The sequence below is a fragment of the Homo sapiens genome, chromosome 15 (assembly GCF_000001405.40).
Source record: "Homo sapiens chromosome 15, GRCh38.p14 Primary Assembly".
Taxonomy (NCBI): Eukaryota; Metazoa; Chordata; class Mammalia; order Primates; family Hominidae; genus Homo; species Homo sapiens.
In genome coordinates, this window is record NC_000015.10 from 78304264 (window position 1) to 78324909 (window position 20646).

Below are 20646 nucleotides of genomic sequence, written 5' to 3' on the forward strand. Positions count from 1 at the left end.
GAGGGACTGAAGACTGGGGACCAGGCTGCCAGTCCCACAGACCTGAGTGGGAGCTTGTGGTGCCTCCTCCAGGCTCACCCATGGCCGCCCATGGGCCAGTCAGCACACACTTCCTCCCTTCTGAGGTCCATAAAAGCCCTGGGCTCAGCCAAACTGCAGGAGAGGATGGAGAGACAGCGGGAAGAGTAGCTGTAGAAAGGAGCTACCCTCTCTGCCAGAGCTGCAGAGACCTGCAGAGCCTTTCAAAGGACCTGCGGAGAGGAGGCCCCCCTCCTCCTGTAGAGACTTCCAAATGACCTGAGGAGAGGATCCCCCAGAACAGCCTCCTTCTCCAGGAGCACCCCCCGCCAGGATCCCCTAGAGCAGTCCCCCTCTCCAGGGTTGGGTCTTCTCTCTGCTGAGAGCAGCCCCCCTCTACAGGGTGAGGTCTTCTTTTTGCTGAGAGCAGCTCCCCTCTCCAGGGTTGGGTCTTCTTTCTGCTGAGAGCAGCAGGTGGCAGGATAACCAGTGGGCAGAGGGGGAGCTACCCTCTCCAGGCCTCCTGTCTGCTGAGAGCTGAACACTCCATGGGATGACTTGCTCAGAGGAGCTACCCACTGCGGGTCTTCTCTGAGCTGCTTAACACTCAGTAAGTTCTTCGAGTACCTCATTATTCCTGGACACAGGACAAGAACTCAGGCAAAGGCGCTCCCAGGAAGAAAATCAATACCTCCCACACCCGTCCAAAGATCCCGTAACACTACCATTACATCTGAGGCTTTCTGCAACTACAAGGGGGTGGTGGAAAGCTTGGCCCTCAGTATCAACATCAAGAAAGCAGCTACCACCGTCTCTGCCTGTTCTCTTTTTGCATTTTTTTCTTTCATTTTTCTTAATCACCTCTGCTATTGCTGCTGCTTAGCAAAACTGGTAAAAACAAAATTGTAATCACTGATGCATCACCCAGATAATCCTCAAATTCCTGCCAGGGAATCCTCTCAGATTCTCTCCAGCGTGCTGTAAAAACCACCGAAGTCATTTGGGCCAGTGCTGGCAGCAGCCCTCCTGAGTCTGAGTTCCCACTCAAAGGTCATGAGATCACAGAACAGCCAGGTGGGGCAGAATAATGTTTTCAAGTACATAAGAACAAGCCACATAGGATTACAAAGGAAACCAATTATATCAAAGTAGTTATCAAAATATTTGTGAAACAGTAGTATATGTGCTTTATTAATGCAGCATGTCTAATATCTTCTGTTATTTTATTTTTGAGACAGGGTCTCGCTCTGTCACCCAGGCTGGAGTGCAGTGGCGCAATCACTGCTCACTGCAGCCTCAATCTTCCAGGCTTAAGCGATCCTCCCGCTTCAGCCTCCCAAGTAGCTGGGACTACAGGCATGTGCCACCATGCCCGGCTAATTTTTGTAATTTTTTTTTTTTTGGTAGAGAAGAGGTTTTGCCATGTTGCCCAGGCTAGTCTCAAACTCCTGGGCTCAGGTGATCTGCCCACTTCAGCCTCCCAAAGTACTGGGATTACAGGCATGAGCCATGGCTCCCAGCCTGTTCTGTAATTTTAAAGTAGCAGTGAGCATAAACAATATTTAGAATTACTTGCAACAGCTGCAATGTGATACGAAAATATTTGTGATTTGTATTGGTGACAAAGTCACAGGTACTACTAATACTCCTAGATTTATTGCATACATTTATAATTAAAGAAGATATTAAATTCCAGTTACAGTTTAAGGGAAATAAAGATATAATTATTTTCCTATCAAAGTTCACAGATCCACGGAATGCCCATTGTAAAGCAAATCTGGAGAGACTTGCCATTGTATGTGACATTTAAACATCTGTAATTAGAGTTCTGGTCTTCCAGGTCAGGAGGAAATGAAAAGATTTTAGAATAAGATAGGTAAACATCCAGGCTAATGATGAAGTAGCTCCAAGATGTAAGGGCTGCCCTGAAAAGCTCTACAATTCATAAAGAGGCCAAGGTTGGGAGGCCCCCTCTAAGGCTGCAGCCCCACAGGGACATAATTGTTCCCTGAGTCATTCACTGCCTTTCCAACTAGCCCTGCATAGAGCAGACCCACAGAGAGGCTCAAGCAGGAAGAATGATACTAGGCCACAGTGTCCCAGGACTTACCCCTATACTTCTCCTCTCCACTCAGTCACAGGTCCAAGCATTTCTGAATGAAGAAGAACCTCACAGATCTATCTCATACCTCTCTCCCTCTATACAACCCCACCATGGGATCATCCAGCCTCTGTTTGAATACCTCCAAGGACAGGGAGCTCACTACCTCCTTGGGAGGAAGAGCTGCCTCCGCCCCAGTTCCGGGAAGGCTTACTTGACTTCCCGGGAAAGACATGAATCAGCAGGTCTGGAGAGGGGTGCAGGCAAAAGTCCTGCTCTCTGCTCAGCACAGGGAGAAGGAGAGGGAGGTCCATGGGCCACATCTGCCCTGTGTAGAGCTCTCAAGGCTCTCCTCAGAACCCCAGCTGGCAGAGTCTGATGTCAGGGACCCCACCTGCCCTTTCTGATGTTTATCCCAGGTTTCCTCTCTGGACCCCACAGCTGACACCCGACTCTCCTTCTTCCTAGTCCCCCTCTTCCCTCCCCTCCTGCGGGCCACAGTGTCTCATGTGGTGCCCCTCTCCTTCTACAGATGCCACCCTCACTCTGCCCCACAAGCTTCCCCGCTTTCATCAAGCAGCACCTCCTTCTCTCCTCCATGCCCCACCAGATAGGCCCCAGGCGCTTTTTGTTTCCAGTTTTGGCACAAAGGGGTTAAACAACTTGGCCTCTAGAGCACAATGCCTGGGCTCAATCTTGGCTGCTCCACCCAAGGCTCTGGTAAATTATGTAACCCCACTGGGATATCACTAAAATGGGGATAATACTAGAACTTTCCTTTTAGGGCTGATATGAGGATTAATAGAGTTAAAATATGTAAAATGCTTAGAACAGTGCCTGGCACAAGGAAAACACTCAATAAATGCCAGCTAGGATTACTCTTACAATTGCCATTCTGGGACGTCTCAAACATACAGCCCACTGTTAGGGAAGGCCCTGAAAGCCCCCAGGTCTCTTTTCCTCACTAGCTTGCCAGATGGCTAAGGGTATTTACATCTCTGAAGTTTATAGCCAGGGCAACTTCCAGACTTCACCCAGCAATCAGCCACTCTGAGCATTTCCTCACAAGGAAACTTCTAGAAAGTTATGCCTCCTCTTTTCTAAAGCAGTGACCACATGTACCTATTATTAAAAATTTATTACTGGCTGGGCACGGTGGCTCATGCCTGTAATGCCAGCACTTTGGGAGGCCGAAGCAGGTGGATCACTTGAGCTCATAAGTCTGAGACTAGCCTGGGCAACATGATGAAACCCCTCCCTGCAAAAATGTAAAAAAGGTTAGCTAGGTGTGGTGGCACATGCCTGTGGTCCCAGCCACTCAGCAGGCTAAGGTAGGAGGATCTATTAAGCCCGGAGGCAGAGGCTGCAGTGAGCTGAGATGGTGCCACTGCACTCCAGCCTGGGTGACAGAGCAAGACCCTCTCTCACGAAAAAAATAAATTAATTAATTAAAAACAAAAAATTATCACCATGCATTCTCCTGTGTGTACATTATTTATAAATATATATGTATTTATACTACTATAATATTTATGTACATTATAAAACAAATATAAAAATAGAAGAGGGACAAGATAAAAATAAATATCAGAAGATCTAATATTTTCTTCCTATACTCCAGACGGTCTTGCTCACTGTCTGGGGTATACACATTCCACTTTGGAGACACTAATGTCTTCAAATTTTAATTTTGGTTTCAAACACTGGGAGAGCTGTGATGGTGGATGTATGGACTGGGCCACGCCCTGAGAAATAACTCTCGCTAGTGCTACGGAGGAGGGAGTCACCCTGTTTCACACAGAGAAGGAAACTGACCCTGAGAAAGGCGAAGTGGCTTCTGCAGGGTCATTCAGCCAGCAAGGCAGAGTAAGGATGGAAACCCATGCTGAATTGGGTGTAGCTGATTTTTTTGTTCATAATTCCACAGTATTAGGGAGGGAAAGCGGGGAAACAGGAGCTCACAGGAAAGAAAGGGGTATGGAGAGGGTGAGGGCAGGACAATTATGGGGCCAGAGGCGGGAGTCTGGATTCAAATCCAAACCCACAAGGACACATCACTCCTTTCTTCAGCTGGTCCATGGATACTGAATCAGGGAACCTCTTGGAACTGGCTTCCTACCCTGCAATCAGGGTCCTTGACAGTCCCCAGTCGGGAACACAGACCACCACAGTGGAGCCACTAGCCAGGGGCTTTACCACGGCTGGCCAGAGGATGGCAGTCACTGCCTACGCATGCCCACTTGGCTGGCGCCGCTGATGGAGTAGCAAGTACCTGCCCTCCTGGGCTCCTCCAGACTCCGGAGGCAGTGAATTCCTGCTCTTGAATCATTATGGGACCCCTCGTAAAGGCATCTTAGACCTCAACTTCCTCATCTTGAAAACAAAATTGTTAACACCATGGTCTCAATCCCTAGTGGTTTTCAAAAGTGTGGTTCCCAGACCACAGTTGTAGATTCTGGAAGTGAGATCCCCAAGGGAGTTACAGCAGAAGGAAGAAGCCAGGGAGAGAGCATCCTGCCCAGAAGCAGCTGAGGCCTCCCATCCTCTGCACATACCTGACTGAGGGGCTGCATCCTGCGAGCATGGCCTGGGGGACTAAGTTCTTTGCACCCAGCAACTGTTCAGGGTGGGGTTTCAATTCGCTTCACCAGCTGCTGACCAGCGGTTGGTGGTCACCTTCAGTACTTGGCTATTCTGCCAGGATCCACCAACTGGACCTTTTTGGGGCCAGGCTGGGGATACTCAAAGGAGTTAGATGAAATCCCTGCCCTCAAGGAGCTCACAATGACTCTTTCTCACCAGGACTCTAAGCCATCTTCAACCAAGATCGACTTTCCAGCGGAAAAGCCCTAGCTCCTCTGATTCTCCCTACATAAGAGGTGTAGGAATTATGTATCCCCATTTTATAGAAAAGTTGGCACAGGGAGAGCACGTGGTTAATCCAGAGCACCTGGTAAAGCTGTGGTGGAGTAGGGAGCAGAACTCAGACCCCTTGAGTCCTCATGCAGCCTGACTCTCTGCTCTGAGCAGGCTGTGGGCATGGCCCAGAGACCGGATGGGCCAATCCAGGGCCTGAGTCCCTCCGCTGTGCCCACATCCTTCAAAACTGGGCAGGAACCAGGAGTAGACTCACCCCACACTGGGGGACTGAGTCATACCTCTCGGGGACCCAAAGTGCAACCGAAGGGAATCAGGTCCTATGTGTGGAGAGGGGACAGGGACCGTGAAGCCCAGCTGTGTATGAAATTCTGCTGTAGTTGGGGATCATGCCATCACTTTCTGGACATCGTTGGCATTTACCTATTCACATAGGAGGCAGCAAAGTCAGGCCAAAAAAGATGGCTGCCAAGGCACTTGAGAGTGTAGGAGGGTGAGCCAAGGAGGCCAGGGTGGTGGGCCTGCCAGGAGGAGGCTGTAAGCCTCTGAAGGGTGGCAGGAATTGGGTATGGAAGCTGTGAGCTAGTGCCACTGTCTGCAATGAATGAGATAGAAGAGATTGGTAGGTGAGCATGATGACGAAGGAAAAGGAGGTGGGGTCTTAGTCTGTTTTGTGCTGCTATAACAGAATACCTGAGACTGGGTAATTTATTATTATCATTATTTATTATTATTCTCTCTCCTAGGCTGGAGTGCAGTGGTATGATCTCAGCTCACCGCAACCTCCGCCTCCCGGGTTCAAGCGATTCTCCTGCCTCAGCTTCCCCAGTAGCTGGAATTACAGGTGTGGGCCATCATACCCAGCTAATTTTTGTATTTTTAGTAGAGATGGGGTTTCACCATGTTGGCCAGGCTGGTCTTGAACTCCTGACCTCAGATGATCCGCCCACCTTGGCTTCCCAAAGTGCTGGGATTACAGGCCTGAGCCACCGTGCCTGGCCAAGACTGGGTAATTTAGAAAGAAAAGAAATTTCTTTTCTCACAGTTCTGAAGGCTGGGAAGTCCAAGATCAAGTTACTGGTGTCTTATAAGGCCCTTCTTACTGTGTCATTCCATGGCAGAAGGCAGAAGGGCAAGGAAGGGAGAGGGAGAGACAGGGTGATGGGGGAAGGCGAGGAGAGACAGAGACAGAGAGAGAGAGAGAGAGTGCAAGAGGGGCTGAACTTGTCCTTTTATAAGGAACCCACTCCCACTATAACAGCATGAATCCATTCATGAGGGTGGCATCCTCACGGCCTAATCAGCTCTTAAAAGTTCCACCTCTAACACTGTCACTTTGGGGATTAAGTTTCCAACACACGAACTTTGGGGGACACATTCAAACATAGCCAGGGGTCTGCCTGGATGGTGAGAGTCTCAAAGGGGCAGAAGGAGGAGAATCAGGGGTTCATGGTGTGCTGGTAGGTGTTTAACAACAGGCTCTTCAGAGAAAAACCCTAAACCTGGCTTATAGCATTTGCTGATTTCCATAGTGTAAATACAGCTCCCATGGGCTATTTCTTTTATTTTTGAAATGGAGTCTCACTCTGTTGCCCAGGCCCAGGCTGGAGTGCAGTGGAGCTATCTTGACTCACTGCAACCTCTGCCTCCTGGGTTCAAGTGATTCTCCTGCCTCCCGAGTAGCTGGGATTACAGGCACCTGCCACCATGCCCCATGGGCTATTTCACGCCACGGACAGGAAGTTGCTGACCAATATGTACAATCTGCTCTGGTAAGCTGGTATGTACCAGCTCCAGCATCCCCTTGAGTGGTTCTGTTATGTTGCTGGGGGTGTCAGTCTCAATCCAGGTGTGCACACCTGCAGTGTCCCCTCCAGAGGCTGCCAGGAACCGCTGTCCTCTACAGAGAGCCAGCTGTGGTGACAGCAAGGTTGGAATAAGGGACCGTGAAAGAGCTGAAAATATAGGGATTTTTATTTACAAAGTTGGTGGTGGGGTTGGGGGGAGGTCAAAGGATTGAGAGCCAGGTGGGAAAGGCAGGACTGCAGGGAAGTGCTGACCCAGAGGGGCCTGCACTTGGGAGGCAAGGGGGCAAAAGGAGCTCTAGGAAGAGAACTCACCGCCGTGAGGTTTCCAAAAGAACCTGGAAATCCCTTCCTGCCACAGGTTAAGCCCAGGATCTCTTGCCAGGGTGAACAGGTGCTGGCCCCAAGCTGGTAAGCTTGGGAAAGTCCCAGGACTCCTGTATCGAATGCACTTCTGAAGGACAAAGGGAATTCAAGAAGCCAAAGGTAGCTTTAGAACAGCCTCACCACAAAGCTCCTTCCACACACTGCCCTTAACTCAGAGAGAGAGCTGAGGTCCAGGCCCCCCATTAGATGTGAGTCTCCAGTGCATCCTGGTGCCAGAGCTGGCATATCCAGGTGAAAGCACTGCTTTTACTCCTTGACTGCCATTGCACTAAAATTAATAGCAGAAGAATGAAAGCATGTGGAGACCTTGCTGTGCAGTTACGCCCAAAGTGCCCCTGGAGGCCGAGGGGCTTAGCAGCCAGAACACGGAACCTCACATCAGGAGCCATTACTGTTATTGTCACTGTTGATATCATTCCTAGTTTTGATCATTAAGTGTGTGCCAGGCATGAAGCTGGCAAGTCACCCAGATGGCCTCAGGAACCATCTCTGGCTCTGAAAGGGAGACTCTCTAGCCTGCCTCTGCCTGAACCCTCTCTGGACCTCAGTTTCCCTAGCTGTCTGTCCCGTGAGTCCATTGGCTCTGGGACTCCTTCAGTTTTTGTTTTGAGACAGAGTCTTGCTCTGTCACCCAGGCTGGAGTGCAGTGGCGTGATCACTGTCACTGCAGCTCAAACTCCAGGGCTCAAGCGACCCTCCCACCTCAGCCTCCTGAGTAGCTGAGACTACAGGTGTGCACCACCATGCCTGGCTAATTTATTTTATTTTTATTTTTGTAGAGATAGGGTCTCCCTGTGTTGCCCGGGCTTGTCTCAAACACCTGACCTCAAGTGAGCCTCCCGCCTCGGCCTCCCAAAGTGCTGGGATTACAGGCGTGAGACACCACGCCCAGCCTCCTTCCAGTTTTGACCTTCTGATCCACTTCAGCTGTTCTTGACCATGGTGTCCTTCCCACTGACTTGTCACATTAGCTGTGAGCTGCCTGTGTCACACGCGATGAAGCTGACTACTGCATAGGACAGCTTATGTGCATCACGTCACATCTTCTCAGCCTCTTCTCTCTTAGTACAGCCACTACCCTGGGGTCCGTTCTGCACAAGTTTCAACCAGCTCTGCCCAAGCGTGAGCTGACAGCACCTCCCCTCCCCCAGTCTCCACCTCTATCTTCCTGCCCTGGGAATCACTCCACATTCACCCAGAAGAATTGTTGCCTGTGGGACAGCCTTGACCAATGGGAGATTGAAGCTGATGAGTAAATATTTCCCCCTTTGGCCCCTGAGGGACAGTTCTGAGATGCTTGACACAGGCCCTTCAGCGCTGGTGGCCAACTCAGCAGTGCATCCTTGATCTGGCTTTTGCTTCTTCCTTTGTTCCGCCCCTGCCCCTCACTCCTGCTCTCTGGGATTGAATTCCTAAGACAGCTCCCTGCTTGGGGTCTTTGTCTCAGGCTCTGCTTTAGGGGGAATCCAGGCTAAGACAGTTTCCAAGCACCCATGATTGCAAATAATCCACTGTTTTGATAAATTCGGCCAATTTTTTTTTTTTGGTGTGCAAATAAAGTTCTCATTCCCTTGCCTTCAGAGATGATTTCTTGAGGGGTGAGAAGGGGTGTGGAATAGGGACACTCCAAAGAGCCTTTTGCAGCCGTCGGGAGAAGGCCAGGAACCAGGGGACCTGTTGGAGGCTGGGAGGTCAGTGAGGGGCCTGTGCTGGGTGGGCTGGGGTGTCTGTGGGAACTCATCACATTGGTGTAGGGGGTAACTGCTATTGGGGGTGTCTTGTGCCTGAAGAACTGAGTTATTCTCTGAGCAAAGCTCTAGATGTAAAGAAACTGACCCAGATCCTCCACGGACTTCAATTCCAGGCTCCTGCCAAATCAGTGGGGAACGGGAAACCAAGTAATAGAGGCCCCTAGACTGCAGAATATCCGCTCTGAGCACTCAGTCAGGAGGACAGGGATCCTGCCGAGCTGAGGTCCTAGAGGAGAGGCAGTGTTTCGGGGGGATGAGGAGGTCATACTCCACGGAATGGCTAAAAAATAGCAGCATCCTTGGCCTGCAGAGACCGGGGAGGCAGAGGCGGGGTGGGTGCTGGGCCTGCTGGGCAGACCTCAGTCAGGCTATGCTGGTCCGAGGGAATGCATATAGTCTCTGACCTCGAACGGGGCCAGGCTCTAGGGACAGGCCACAGAGAAGCACCTGGACTCATAGGAAGAAGGGTCTTTCTCACAGGTTGAACCATGCCACAGGAGTAGGGGCTGCCTTGGAGGTATAAGCCTCCAGTCCCAGGGGATGTACAAGCCACAGCTGGACAGCCAAATGCAGGGCAGGCAGAGTGGGCCCCAGCAGCACAGTGTGGTGCCCCAGCCGCCCCTCAACACCAGCCTGCTCCTGTTGCTGAGCTGTGGTCGGGAGGACTGCAGAAGACTGAAGGAATCTTCGAACCAGGACAGCTCCAATGCTGGACTCCTTCACCCTCCGATATCTACCCAACCCACAACAGGATCTCCGCCCTGTACCTCCCCACTCTCAGCAACCAGATCTTGGGGGCTTCTGCTGTGCACAACTCTAAGATCCAGGCAGCATCCTATGGGCTTTTCAGGGCTGTGGGCTGGCGTGAGGCCCTCCTCTCTGGCCTCAATGCTCACACTCCTTATGATCTGCCTCCTCTCCCATCAAACAATGTCCCTCCTTTGTGAATCTCCAAATCCAGGTGGCCATCCAATGCCCTGGGAATCCTTCTCCGAGGCCCCAGCCCTCAGCCATCTCAGTCCGGGGTTCTTCACGGGCTCTTTCTATGCTCCTCCTGTCGGGTCCTGGAGTGGAGATGGACAAAGCCACTCTGAGAGGAAGGAGGGGGAGCCTCAGGATTAGATGCACTCGGGTGACAGACTAGCGGGGTCTCTAGATGCTGAAGGGAGGTGACCCAGCCCCATGACCTAGCTCCAGGACATGTAACTAGAAAGGGGCTCTGGGGAGCAGGGCAGAGCAGGCTGGGCTCCGGGCCCAGGGCTGTTGAAATTTCCATGACCACCAGATTAAGGCCACCTGGGTGAGGCTACTCCTACAGGAGGAGCCAAAGGGACCCAGTTGTGGGAGGGGCTGGAGGTAGAGATTCAGAAGGGGAATGGAGGGTCTTCAGCAAGACCTGCGGGGAGGTGGGCTGTTTCCCTCTGCGCTGTGCCTCTCTCCAGGGGCCAAGGGGCCTGGTGGCTAATGGGCCTCCCCACTCGGGACCCACTTTGACCTGCGCTTCCTGGCTGAACCTGGGCCTCTGGAATTCTCTGTCTGTTCTCTGGTCCCCTCTTATCCTTGTCCCTAAGCCAGGAGCATGCCCCGAGGTTGGGTTCTAACCTGGGCTCAGCCACTTGTAAGAAAAGTAACTTTAGCTATTGAAACTCTGTTTTCTTATCTGTATTTTTAAAAATTTTAGTTTTTATTTATTTTGTAGAGACAGGGTCTCACTGTGTTGCCCAGGCTGGTCTTGGACTTCTGGCCTAAAGCGATCCTCCCACCTTGACTTTCCAAAGTGCTAGGGTTACAGGTGTGAGCCACGTGCCCAGCCTCACCTGTAAAATGAAGACAATTTCTTCTTGGGTCTGTTACGAAGATTAATAAGACAAGGACTCAGCAGCACTTAGCGCAGTGCTTGGCTTACAGAGAGTGCTTGATAAACGGGAGCGAATAGTGATAGGATCATTGCTTCCTGTTTTGAGTCTTTCATTCTGCTGAAAGGTAAGGTCTCAGGGAAGGACATGGCTGACCTAAGATCCCCAAGAGGGCCAGGGCAGAGTGGGGATGTGAGCCTAGTCCCCAGATGCCCACTCCCATCCACAGCCTTCTGTGTCTCTAGTACTGTGCTCTGGCTTTCCGTGAGTGGCCAGCTATGGCTTCCTGGCTGCTGGCACTCCTTCCATCCTTTCTGCCACTCTTCCTGCTCTGTGTCTGCATTTTAAAGGGGGCTTTAGGCTGGCTCAGTGGCTCATGTCTGTAATCCCAGAACTTTGGGAGACTGAGGCAGAAGGATTGCTTGAGGTCAGGAGTTCAACACCAGCCTGGGCAACATAGCAAGACCCTGTCTCTATAAAAAATAAGAAAATTAGCCAGGCATGGTGGTATGCACCTGTGGTCCCAGCTATTTGGGAGGCTGAGGCAGGAGTTTGAGGCTGCTGTGAGCCATGATTTTGCCACTGCTCTCCAGCCTGGGTGACAAGGCAAGATCCTGTTTCTAAAAAAATAAAAAAGGAGGGGGGTCATCAGTGTTTTCACCAGGGCCAGGCTCAGGCTCTGTGGGAGAACAGGGGCTGAGGACTCTCCCCCTGACCCCTAGAAGCCCTGCCACGAGGGTGGGGAGGACCTACGACTAGGCAGTCAGAGCCCTCTGCAGCACTCAGGGGCTTGGCCACAAGAGGGAGGGAAAGGGCTTGGCAGAGTAGTCAGGAGACCTAGGTTCCAGCCTTACCTCCACCACCTATGTGCTGTGTGCTTACAGCACATCACTGCTCTCTCTGGGACCCAATTTCCTTGATCACACATACATGCGACCCTCTGCAGTGGCCAGGGTCTCACTCAGCCCAGAAGGGTACTGAGCTCTGGCCAGACAGGGCACAATTCTTTCCTCTCAGAAAACGACAGCTTCTTGGGCCGGGCCTCTGGGGACAGGGGTTCCTGCTCTCTAGGAGCTGCCTGTAAAGGTCCCTTGTCAATTAATTTGGCAGCTCAGTGTTCAGGGGCAAGTGCTCTTTGAGAGGCCTAATGTATCCCCATCAGAAATGACTTATGGGATTCTCCGTGGGGCTGTGATCATGCCCTGCCCCCCGCCATGCCCCCTCAAGGCTTGCTTTGTCATCCAGTCCCTGTGTTTGCATGTGTCATTGCCCAGCCACCCCCTGGTCAGAGGGTGGCCACGGGAGACTCATTGGAGGCACATTATCGGACACTGGTTGTGAGGGATGATGGAGGGGCAGGCCCATCTGCACACACATTAAGCCCTTTGTCTCTGGACTCAGTGGGAAGATGAATGAGGCCTGTCGCTAGGCCTCTGCTGCCTGGGGGACAAAAGGGGCCTGGAACAGGCCTTGGGATGGGTGTTGGGTGGAAAGCAGCCTGTGCGCATCTCTTCAGACAGAACCAGATCTAACAGGCTTAACCAGAGACAGCTGAGAGGAGGCAGGCGGTCAGGAAGGAGTCCCAGAAAGCCCCGGGAGTCAGGCGGGGTTTCTGCTTGACGGAGCCCGGTGTTTCCCCTATAAAAGCTGATGCTTGGTCTTAGGGGCTGGGGCTCCATTTGCATTGTGTAAATACAGGCTGGCAGCGCTCTCAGATGAGCTGATTCAAACTCCTCACTCTACCGTGGGGAACCTCAGGCCTGAAAAAGCAAGGACTCACTCACCTAAGGTCGTTTCAGGAATCAGCAGCGGGGGCAGGACAAGAACCGATGTGATAAAATTCCATAGCCACCACCGCCCTATTTGGTGCAGATCCAACTAAACACACCCTCAATGACTCTGAGACAAGGTACAGTTTCCTGAGGGCAAGAGAAGGGCGAAACGGGACTTTTGCTCATTCCTGGACTTTTAGGGGTTGACAGATTGGCTCTAAAGTTTATATGGATGAATAAATATACAAGGATAACCGGGAGGCCTCTGGGTATAGGAGGCTTTGTTGCTTCAGAGGGTCAGGCAGGGCTGGCAGCACAACAGAGCTGTGAAGTGCAGGGCCAGCAATGGCAGGAGCTGTGCCGAGGTTGCCCCCGTGAGCCTCCTACAACGCAGGTGAACACATCACTCCGCAGCTCATCAACCTTTTGTGGCTCCCCATGGCCACAGGGCACAGTCCCAACTTCTCAGCCTGGCATCTGAGGCCCTCTGTGATCTGCCTCTGCTTCTTCTCACACCCATCTCCAGAAGGCAGCCCAGTCTAAATGTCAGCACCCTGGGGAGCCCTCTTCTGGACACTCACAGCGTGCTGCTCCGAGCACTGCCATGCCAGGTGACTTCACTCTCCTGATTTTGAAGATCCCTGTTTCCATGCCTCTCCTTCGGTGAATCATATGTTCTGGGCCTGACCTGGATCCCCAGTCCTGACACCCAGCCCAGCACGGGAGCTCAGTGAATGAATGAATGAATGAAATGAATGAATGAAATGAATGAATGAATGAATGAATGAAATGAATGAATGAATGAATGAATGAAATGAATGAATGAATGAAATGAAATAACTATGCACCCTGGACCTCTTCTCCCTGACCCCACAGTAGCTCTTTGGGAAAGCAATGTGGGCATACCCTACCCTGTGCTTCAGCAATTCCACTCCTAGAACAGCTCTTTAAGGAAAGAATCCAAAAACAAAGAAAAACTGCTTCAGAGACACAGATGCTCATTGCAGTGCCCCTCATATTGTTAAAAAAAAAAAGTGGGCAAATCCTAAATGTCCAATAGAAAGGGACTGTGTTGAGTAAATTAGTGTACATCCATGTGATGGGATTGTTCACACCGAAGACCTGAAGCTGGCTGGAAAGGGGAGGAGGAGACTTAGGTATTTAATTAATTCTGGAACGTTTGAATATTATACACAAGGATTTACATTTGAAGTGCCCCTTTTTTATGTCCTGCATTTCTATATATGCACAGGTGATATGTCCCTGGACTCTTAATTCTATTCTATCAATCTGTTTTTTTACTCTTGTGCCAATTTCCATGGTTTTAAAACACTAAAGCTTTAGGATAATTTTTATATCTGGTGGAAAAATTTCCTCCTCTTTATTCTTCCTTTTCATAACTCTCTTGGTTATCCTTGTATATTTATTCATTCATATAAATTTTAGAGCCAATCTGTCAAATATGAAAAATCTTGTTAGCATGTTGCTTGGCCTTGAATTTTATAGAGTATTTTGGGGGTGAATGGAAAACTTGATGATATTGACTCATTCCATTGCATTATTTTCAAACATTAAAAAAATGAATATCAGATATCAGACTGGAAATGGCTTGGGCTATAAAACCAAGACAAAATAACACGGTTTATAATTGTATGCTGTGTGATCACCCCTTAACAGATGTGGAGGAGGAAATTGAAAGGAAATGCAAAGCTGCAAACAGTGGATTTCTTTGTTCCATTTTTCTATACAATATTTTAATTTTTAAAATATATGCATGTCTTTAAAAAGAGGGATATTGGTTAACATGAACATTCCCCGAAGGGAGACTAGCATGAGGATGGGACTCAAATGTGTCCCATCAGGAAAGGCTGGAGGCCCCAGAGGCAGGAACCTTGGGGAGGGGGAGGCATGGGCCATTCATAGTTTCTCTCTCATTTCTGTATTGGAACCCTGGGTCCAGGCCAGAGGCCCCCGAAAGGCAGAGTTGAGCAGGAGAAGGCAGTTGAGGAGGGGCTTCCTCACAGACTGAGACCCCGGCCTTCAGTGGCTTGGGCTGCCTGGGGGATCCCTGGGGGTGCAGGCAGAGTGCATGCATAATGGGGAGTGTCTCCCCTAGGTGCCCAGGTCCAGTCCAGCCTAGGAACCTGTGACTCTCTCTCCAGACACTGAGCTGAGAAACTCCTCTGCATCCACATGACTTGCTACTTGGGAGTGGATTTGACCATTAGAAGGCCTGTGGTGAGCACTGCTGTGGGGTAGAGGAGAAGAGGTCCAGGACAGATCAACTCAACAAACAGCTCAACAGTCCACAGCCACATCTACCCAAGAGCAAGCAAAACCCCATCCAGGCAGACCACAGGCAACTGGGCAATAGGAAACAGCCCCCTAATGACTGATCTCTTCTGTCCCTGTCCAGAAAGTTGGCAATGCCTAGTTTGGCTTCCAAAGGCCCTTCACAAATCATACGTGGGGACTTGTAGCCTAGGACGTGAACCTGTCAGGTCAGGCTAGACTGGCCTGCTTTTGAAAGTGAGCCCAGTGTGTGTGCATCAGGGAGGCGGCCATTTTCAGGTTAAGAGTCCTGGTGTCTTGAAAGTGGGCAGTGCTGGCAGTCCCCATCCATTGTATTCTAATGGACCAAGAGACAGATCGGTCTCTCCGTTGTATAGAGGGGGTTGCTGAGGATCCACGAGAGGGGAAGGGACTTGCCCAAAGCTACATGGCAGGGCAGTGATGCAGCCCACATCAAACCCCGGTCTGTTCACACAATTCCACCAACAGACTTCCCCTTCACACATGCACACGTTGTGGCTTCAAAGTGGTTGAAACAATAAGGACATTTCCCAAACAGACGCTTCCTTCTCCCATCGGCCAAGCCCACCCCTCATCCCCACACAGAGGGTAATGCCTCCAGGAGGGCAGTGTCTGCTGTCAGGGGCGACGGCTGTGTCAGTGCAGACAGACAAGATGGATGGGCCAGTCGTTAATGAGTTAGGGATTCTGACCCGCTTCATGGGCTGGGGGCGAATGGCTGTAATGACCGCTGGGCCAGCCATCCCTGACGACAGGCAGCCCAACCACTGCTGTTCTTCATTTGTGCCCCCCCAAAATGACTGTGGCAGGGGAGCCCCCACTGCCCTTAGAAGACCCACTCTCTGCATCCCTGAGGCCCCCATGCCAGGCAGGAGCAGAGGCTTCATCAGGAAAAGGCCAAAGGCAGAATCAATAATCGCAGCGTTTCGAGATGGGGAAGGGACAGGAGGTAGGCAAAGGCCTCGGGCTGGGTATGAGGTCACCTGGGACCAGAAGAGCCTCCTGTTTGGGTGAAGGCAGGAACTCTACCCTCAACACCTGGCAAAGCCAGCTGCTTCCCAGGATCTTATTTTTGCTTTTCTCCACCTGGGGGAAGGTAGGACACAGAGTCTGATCAAAGGCCTCAGACAAAGGGTCCCGCCCCATCCCCAGTGGAAGAGGATGGATAAGGAACCTGCTAAGCTGTTCAGATCCCAGGGCCTCCCACCTGACTCCGAGAAGCTGCATGGAGGGGGACCAGGCTCCACATGCATGGCGCCTCCAGCCACCACCGCGCCCTTCTCCTCCCCATTCCTTCCACTCCATCTGCCAGGGTCCCTGGCTCCTGGCCTGGATGAGTAGAGCAGACAAAGGCCTGGGGAGGGAGGGAAGAGTATGGCTCCTAGACCAGCTGCTGTGTGGACAACAAGCTTGTGAACCTGAGACTGTGCATACAGAGAACCTGCCTGGAAAACCCTCTCATTCATTGACATCACTGATGCCCACTCTGTGCCATGCCCTGGGCTAGGCCCTGGGCACAGAGAGGAGCAGGACTTGGTCTCCGACTCAGTGCTGCTCTCAGACTGGAGGAAGACAGGTTTAGAAATCCTGAGGCTGAGCACTCCGAGGATGGTATGTCAGGGGGTGGGGGCGGGGGCAGAGGCGAGGGTCTGGAGCATCAGGGATGTTTCCAGAGTTGGGGACATGAGCTGGGTTTTGAATTGTGAGAGGGAATTTTTGCCAGGCAGACAGAGGGGAGGGCAGTGCAAAGCAAAAGAAGTATACAAGGGCCTGTGGTTTCGGGGGGCAAATAGGGATGAGGGGTGGGAGGGAGGGAATGAGACAAAGTGGGATGGAGGGACCCAAATCACAAAGGCCTTTGAGGCCAGGGAGAGGACTCATTTCTGAAGCTGGGGCCACTGCAGAAGGGTTTTAGGCAGAAAAGACTGTAGACCGGAAGACCGGGAGCAGGGGTGGAGAGGACTGTGGAGATGGCCCTGGAGAGCCGCAGCAGCTGATGGGGCGAAGAGGTGTGGGTCCCGTGAGGACAGTGAAGGCCCAGCTCCTGCAGTGGTCTCAGGGCCGTTTGTGTGCGTCGTGCGGGTGCCCCACAAGATCAGCCCTGCTGGGGCGCTGAGGGAGGTGCAGAGGCAGCTTGCGACAGTCCTCCACGGTAGATCCCTGAGACCGAGGGTGTGCCCAGACAGCCCCACTGCCTTTGTTCCCCACCACACGACCTCCAACAGCTGCAGCACCACGCGGGGAACCCACTACATTCCCGGCCTGCACTCTGTCTTAGGGAGAAGTGCCCTGCCTTCATTCCCTATAGTAATAACTACCAAGCAAATGCAGGAACACAGCTGGAAGAATAAAATAGTTTTGTTTCTAAACTCTGTTGCAGAAAAATCCCCCAGCTGGGAGTCAGCAGCCCTACAGTCTGCCCCTGCTCTGACTGTACTTCTAGGCAAGTTCCTTTTCCTCTTGGGGCCTCAGTTTCTCCATCTGTATATGAGAGATGTAAGCCCTCCCAGCTCTGAGTTCCATTTCTTTTTTCTTTTTTCTTTCTTTATTTATTTTTTGTTGTTTTGTGAGATGGCATCCTGTCGCCCAGGCTGTAGTGCAGGGGCACAATCACAGCTCACTGCAGCCCTGACATCCCCAGGCTCAGGCAATCCTCCCACCTCAGCCTCCTGAGTAGCTCCATTTCTTAAATGTGCATAGAACTCTGTGGCTTCCCCAGCACCCCCATCACCCTGTGAGCCTAAAAGAATAGGTGTTACCGGGCCTGTGTGTAGATGTTAAAATTGAAGCCTGATGACCTACTCAAGGTCAGGAAGCATGCTGGCAGCAGCGACCAGACCAAGACCCCAGGTCCTGCTCCCTGGCCCCAGGCCTTTCCCTCAGAGCCAAGGTGGGTCCCTGGTTTGCGCTGGTGGGAAGGTGCTCAGTGATTGGTTTGCTTGTGTGTATTTGATCTAAGTGAGGGTGGGGTGAAGTCGTGCCTTCCCTTGGGGTCATTCCCTGCTCCCTGTGAACAACTGACCTGAATCAGGCCTCTTGTCTTGGGGGGCCTTCCTCAAAGGCCTGTTAGGTAACTGCTGGGCCTGCAGTCCAAACGCAAGGTGAAAACGTGGTTTGATTCTCCACCCTGGGTGCTGTAGAAGGGAAGTGATCCGTGTCCGGGCCCAACAGCAATCCTGGATGTGCACACTGGGTGGGACTTGGGGGGTTAAGCTGCCAGGCGGCTGTCTCTGCCCGAGATGCTGTCACGCAGAGGGGGGCAGGGACTGCTCAGCTGAGGTAACAATACAGCCCATGAATCATATTTACAAACACCCCAGAGAGCAGGAAAGGGACGCTAATTAAATATTCACATCCTGCAGGCCTCGGGGAGCCATGAAGATGACGACATGATCGCAGCTCAGCAGGAAGCTCGGTGCTGCCGGAATGTGGGGAGGCCATCCGTCTCATTCAGCGGCCCGGCAGGCCTTATTATGATGATGAATTTTCAAGTTATCAGCACAAATGCAATCACCATCATAGGCCAAGATAACCCTCTTCATCACTCACAGCCCAGTCTGGGACAGCCTCAGGAGGAAAAGGGGGGCACGGAGCTTGTCACTGGGGGGCAGAGGGAGAAGCAAGCCCCTGCCCCCAGCTCTCAAGCTCAAAGGCCTTCCTGAGCTGAGGCCATTTGGCCTGACAACCCGGCCTGGTGGAGGCCTGAGGCTTGGGGCCCCTCAGGTGGGGCTCTTGGGGCTCACCCAGCTGCCACATTGATCGGGAGAGAGAATGGGTTCCCCTGGACATCTGGGAAGGCTGAGGCAGCTGTCCTGCCCATCCATCCCCAGGAGGAGTTGTCTCTGGCTCCTGCAGAAGCCCGGGGCTTCTATGGACCACACGCCCCACATCCGTCAATCTCGATTAAGGAGGGCCTCAGGGAGCTGGGGGCTTCTCCAGCCACTGCAGCATTGTCCTGGAGATGCCTGGCCTGGGGATGAGGGGGAAGGAGGTGGGCGTGACTCCCATCTGAAAAACCATTAATCCCGAAATGGTGATTGAGCACCCGTGACGAGCTGGCATTGTGCTGTGTCCTGCACGTGCCGCACAAAGGGCAGCAAGAGGTGATTGATCAGGGATGAATGAGTGTCTCTTTCTTTATGGACTTTCAAAGGCACCATTTGGCATCCTGAGCAGGATGATCGATGAGAGGCAGCTGACCCCCCTGTGGCCACCTCCAGGCAGCAGGTGGATAGGAGAGCCCACGTGGGGGACGGTTGGAGGGCCTCCCAGTCATGTGCCTGCTCTGTTAGCAAGAATCGGGGTATCCACCATCGAAGGCCCTTCCCGTTGCAGGGCTGTTGGCCATCAATTTACTTCCTCCTTTTGCACTGAAAGAGAAGCTGGAACAATTGCCACGTTTTCTGATAAATTATAGCCACCCGTTCCCCAGCCTTGCAGCCCAGAAGATCCCAGCACATGTATAAATCACACTAATGAAAGCTGAGGTTGTCATTTTCGAGAGCAGGCGTTTATTCAGTAAACCTTTATGGAGTGCCTGCTAGGTACCCGGGCCCACGCTGAGGGCTGGGCACACGGAGACAAATCAAACCTGCTCTCAGCATGAAAACGCTCACAGGACAGTGGGGACAGGCAGAGGTCCACACCAGGCAGAGCCCCACACCAGGCAGACCCCCACAAAAGGGTGTCATGAGGTAGCCTGGTGCCAGGAGTCTGGACTTTGGAACCAGCTGCACTACCTCCTAGCTGTGTGGCCTTGGGCCAGTGCCTCAACCTCTCTGAGCTTTAGTTCCCTCATCCGAAAAGCAGCCATGAGGACAAGTATCTCACTGGATGGTTGTAAAGATTAAATGACAATGCAGCCCCGTGCTTGGCACCTTCTGGAGGGGGCTCAATAAATGGAGAGTCCTGGCCTAGAGATGACCCCCCCCACCCCGCAACCCCACTGTGGAGATAAGCCACTGGGGCTGTAGGAGGGCAGAGGCAGAAATGCTCACTCTGCCAAGGGGCGAGAGGGGAAGGCTTCCCAGAGCAGGTGATGCTGACGGGAGTCTTCAAGAATTAGCGAAAAGTGAGGGGTGCTGGGGAGAGAAAGGGATACTGGGAAAGGCAGACAGACTGAGAAAGAATGTATGGAAGATGGAGAGTGCTGAGAGGGAAGAGCTGGGAAGTAGGGAGGAGCCAGGTGTGCCTGCAAGGCAGAGCACTGAGATACAGCAGCAGGGGCAGGCGGGAGTTTCCAACCACATTGCACTAACTACATGGAGAATGAACTCCTCTTTTGCAATGGTTCTGGCTGGGGCTGGGAGTGAGGGTAGAGAGGGGCTGGATTCAGAAAGAAGCATCCTTGGGCACTGGGATGGAGAGGAGAGGGCGGCTGAGCCATGGGAAGGGCCAGCTTGACCACAGCGGAACGAACCAGACATGGCCACGCAGAGAGGCCCAGTGTCTGTTCCAGAGAACACATGTGCCCTTAGATACAAGCTCACAGGCAGAGAGATTCACAGACATACACAGAGACATTCGGATCATTCCAGAGCATGCAGAGACAAACACATGGAGACTGATGCACATAGGCATACATGGACACAACATAGAGGACACATGTGCAAGGAGCTGGCTACAGAGAGACACGCAGGAGAGGCACATGACCAATGTGCAAAGCTGATACACGACACACACTCTGAGGAAATGCATGCAGAACACACACCCACAGTGTGCAGACATATGCGAGAACACACAGAAGAGGTGCACACAAAGAGAACC

At 52.1% G+C, this 20646-nt stretch overlaps 4 annotated features.

Moving 5' to 3' along the window:
• Nucleotides 11485-11534: an enhancer, noted in NCBI's record as "active region_9916". NCBI's record gives its function as "activates an Ori minimal core promoter by ATAC-STARR-seq in GM12878 lymphoblastoid cells {active_cell/tissue: GM12878}" and the evidence as "EXISTENCE:reporter gene assay evidence [ECO:0000049][PMID:35858748]".
• Nucleotides 12404-12513: a silencer, noted in NCBI's record as "silent region_6710". NCBI's record gives its function as "represses an Ori minimal core promoter by ATAC-STARR-seq in GM12878 lymphoblastoid cells {active_cell/tissue: GM12878}" and the evidence as "EXISTENCE:reporter gene assay evidence [ECO:0000049][PMID:35858748]".
• Nucleotides 15104-15689: an enhancer, noted in NCBI's record as "H3K4me1 hESC enhancer chr15:78611709-78612294 (GRCh37/hg19 assembly coordinates)". NCBI's record gives its function as "activates a minimal SCP1, AML or CMV promoter by ChIP-STARR-seq in naive H9 embryonic stem cells {active_cell/tissue: H9 hESC(naive)}" and the evidence as "EXISTENCE:reporter gene assay evidence [ECO:0000049][PMID:30033119]".
• Nucleotides 18032-18615: an enhancer, noted in NCBI's record as "H3K27ac-H3K4me1 hESC enhancer chr15:78614637-78615220 (GRCh37/hg19 assembly coordinates)". NCBI's record gives its function as "activates a minimal SCP1, AML or CMV promoter by ChIP-STARR-seq in primed H9 embryonic stem cells {active_cell/tissue: H9 hESC(primed)}" and the evidence as "EXISTENCE:reporter gene assay evidence [ECO:0000049][PMID:30033119]".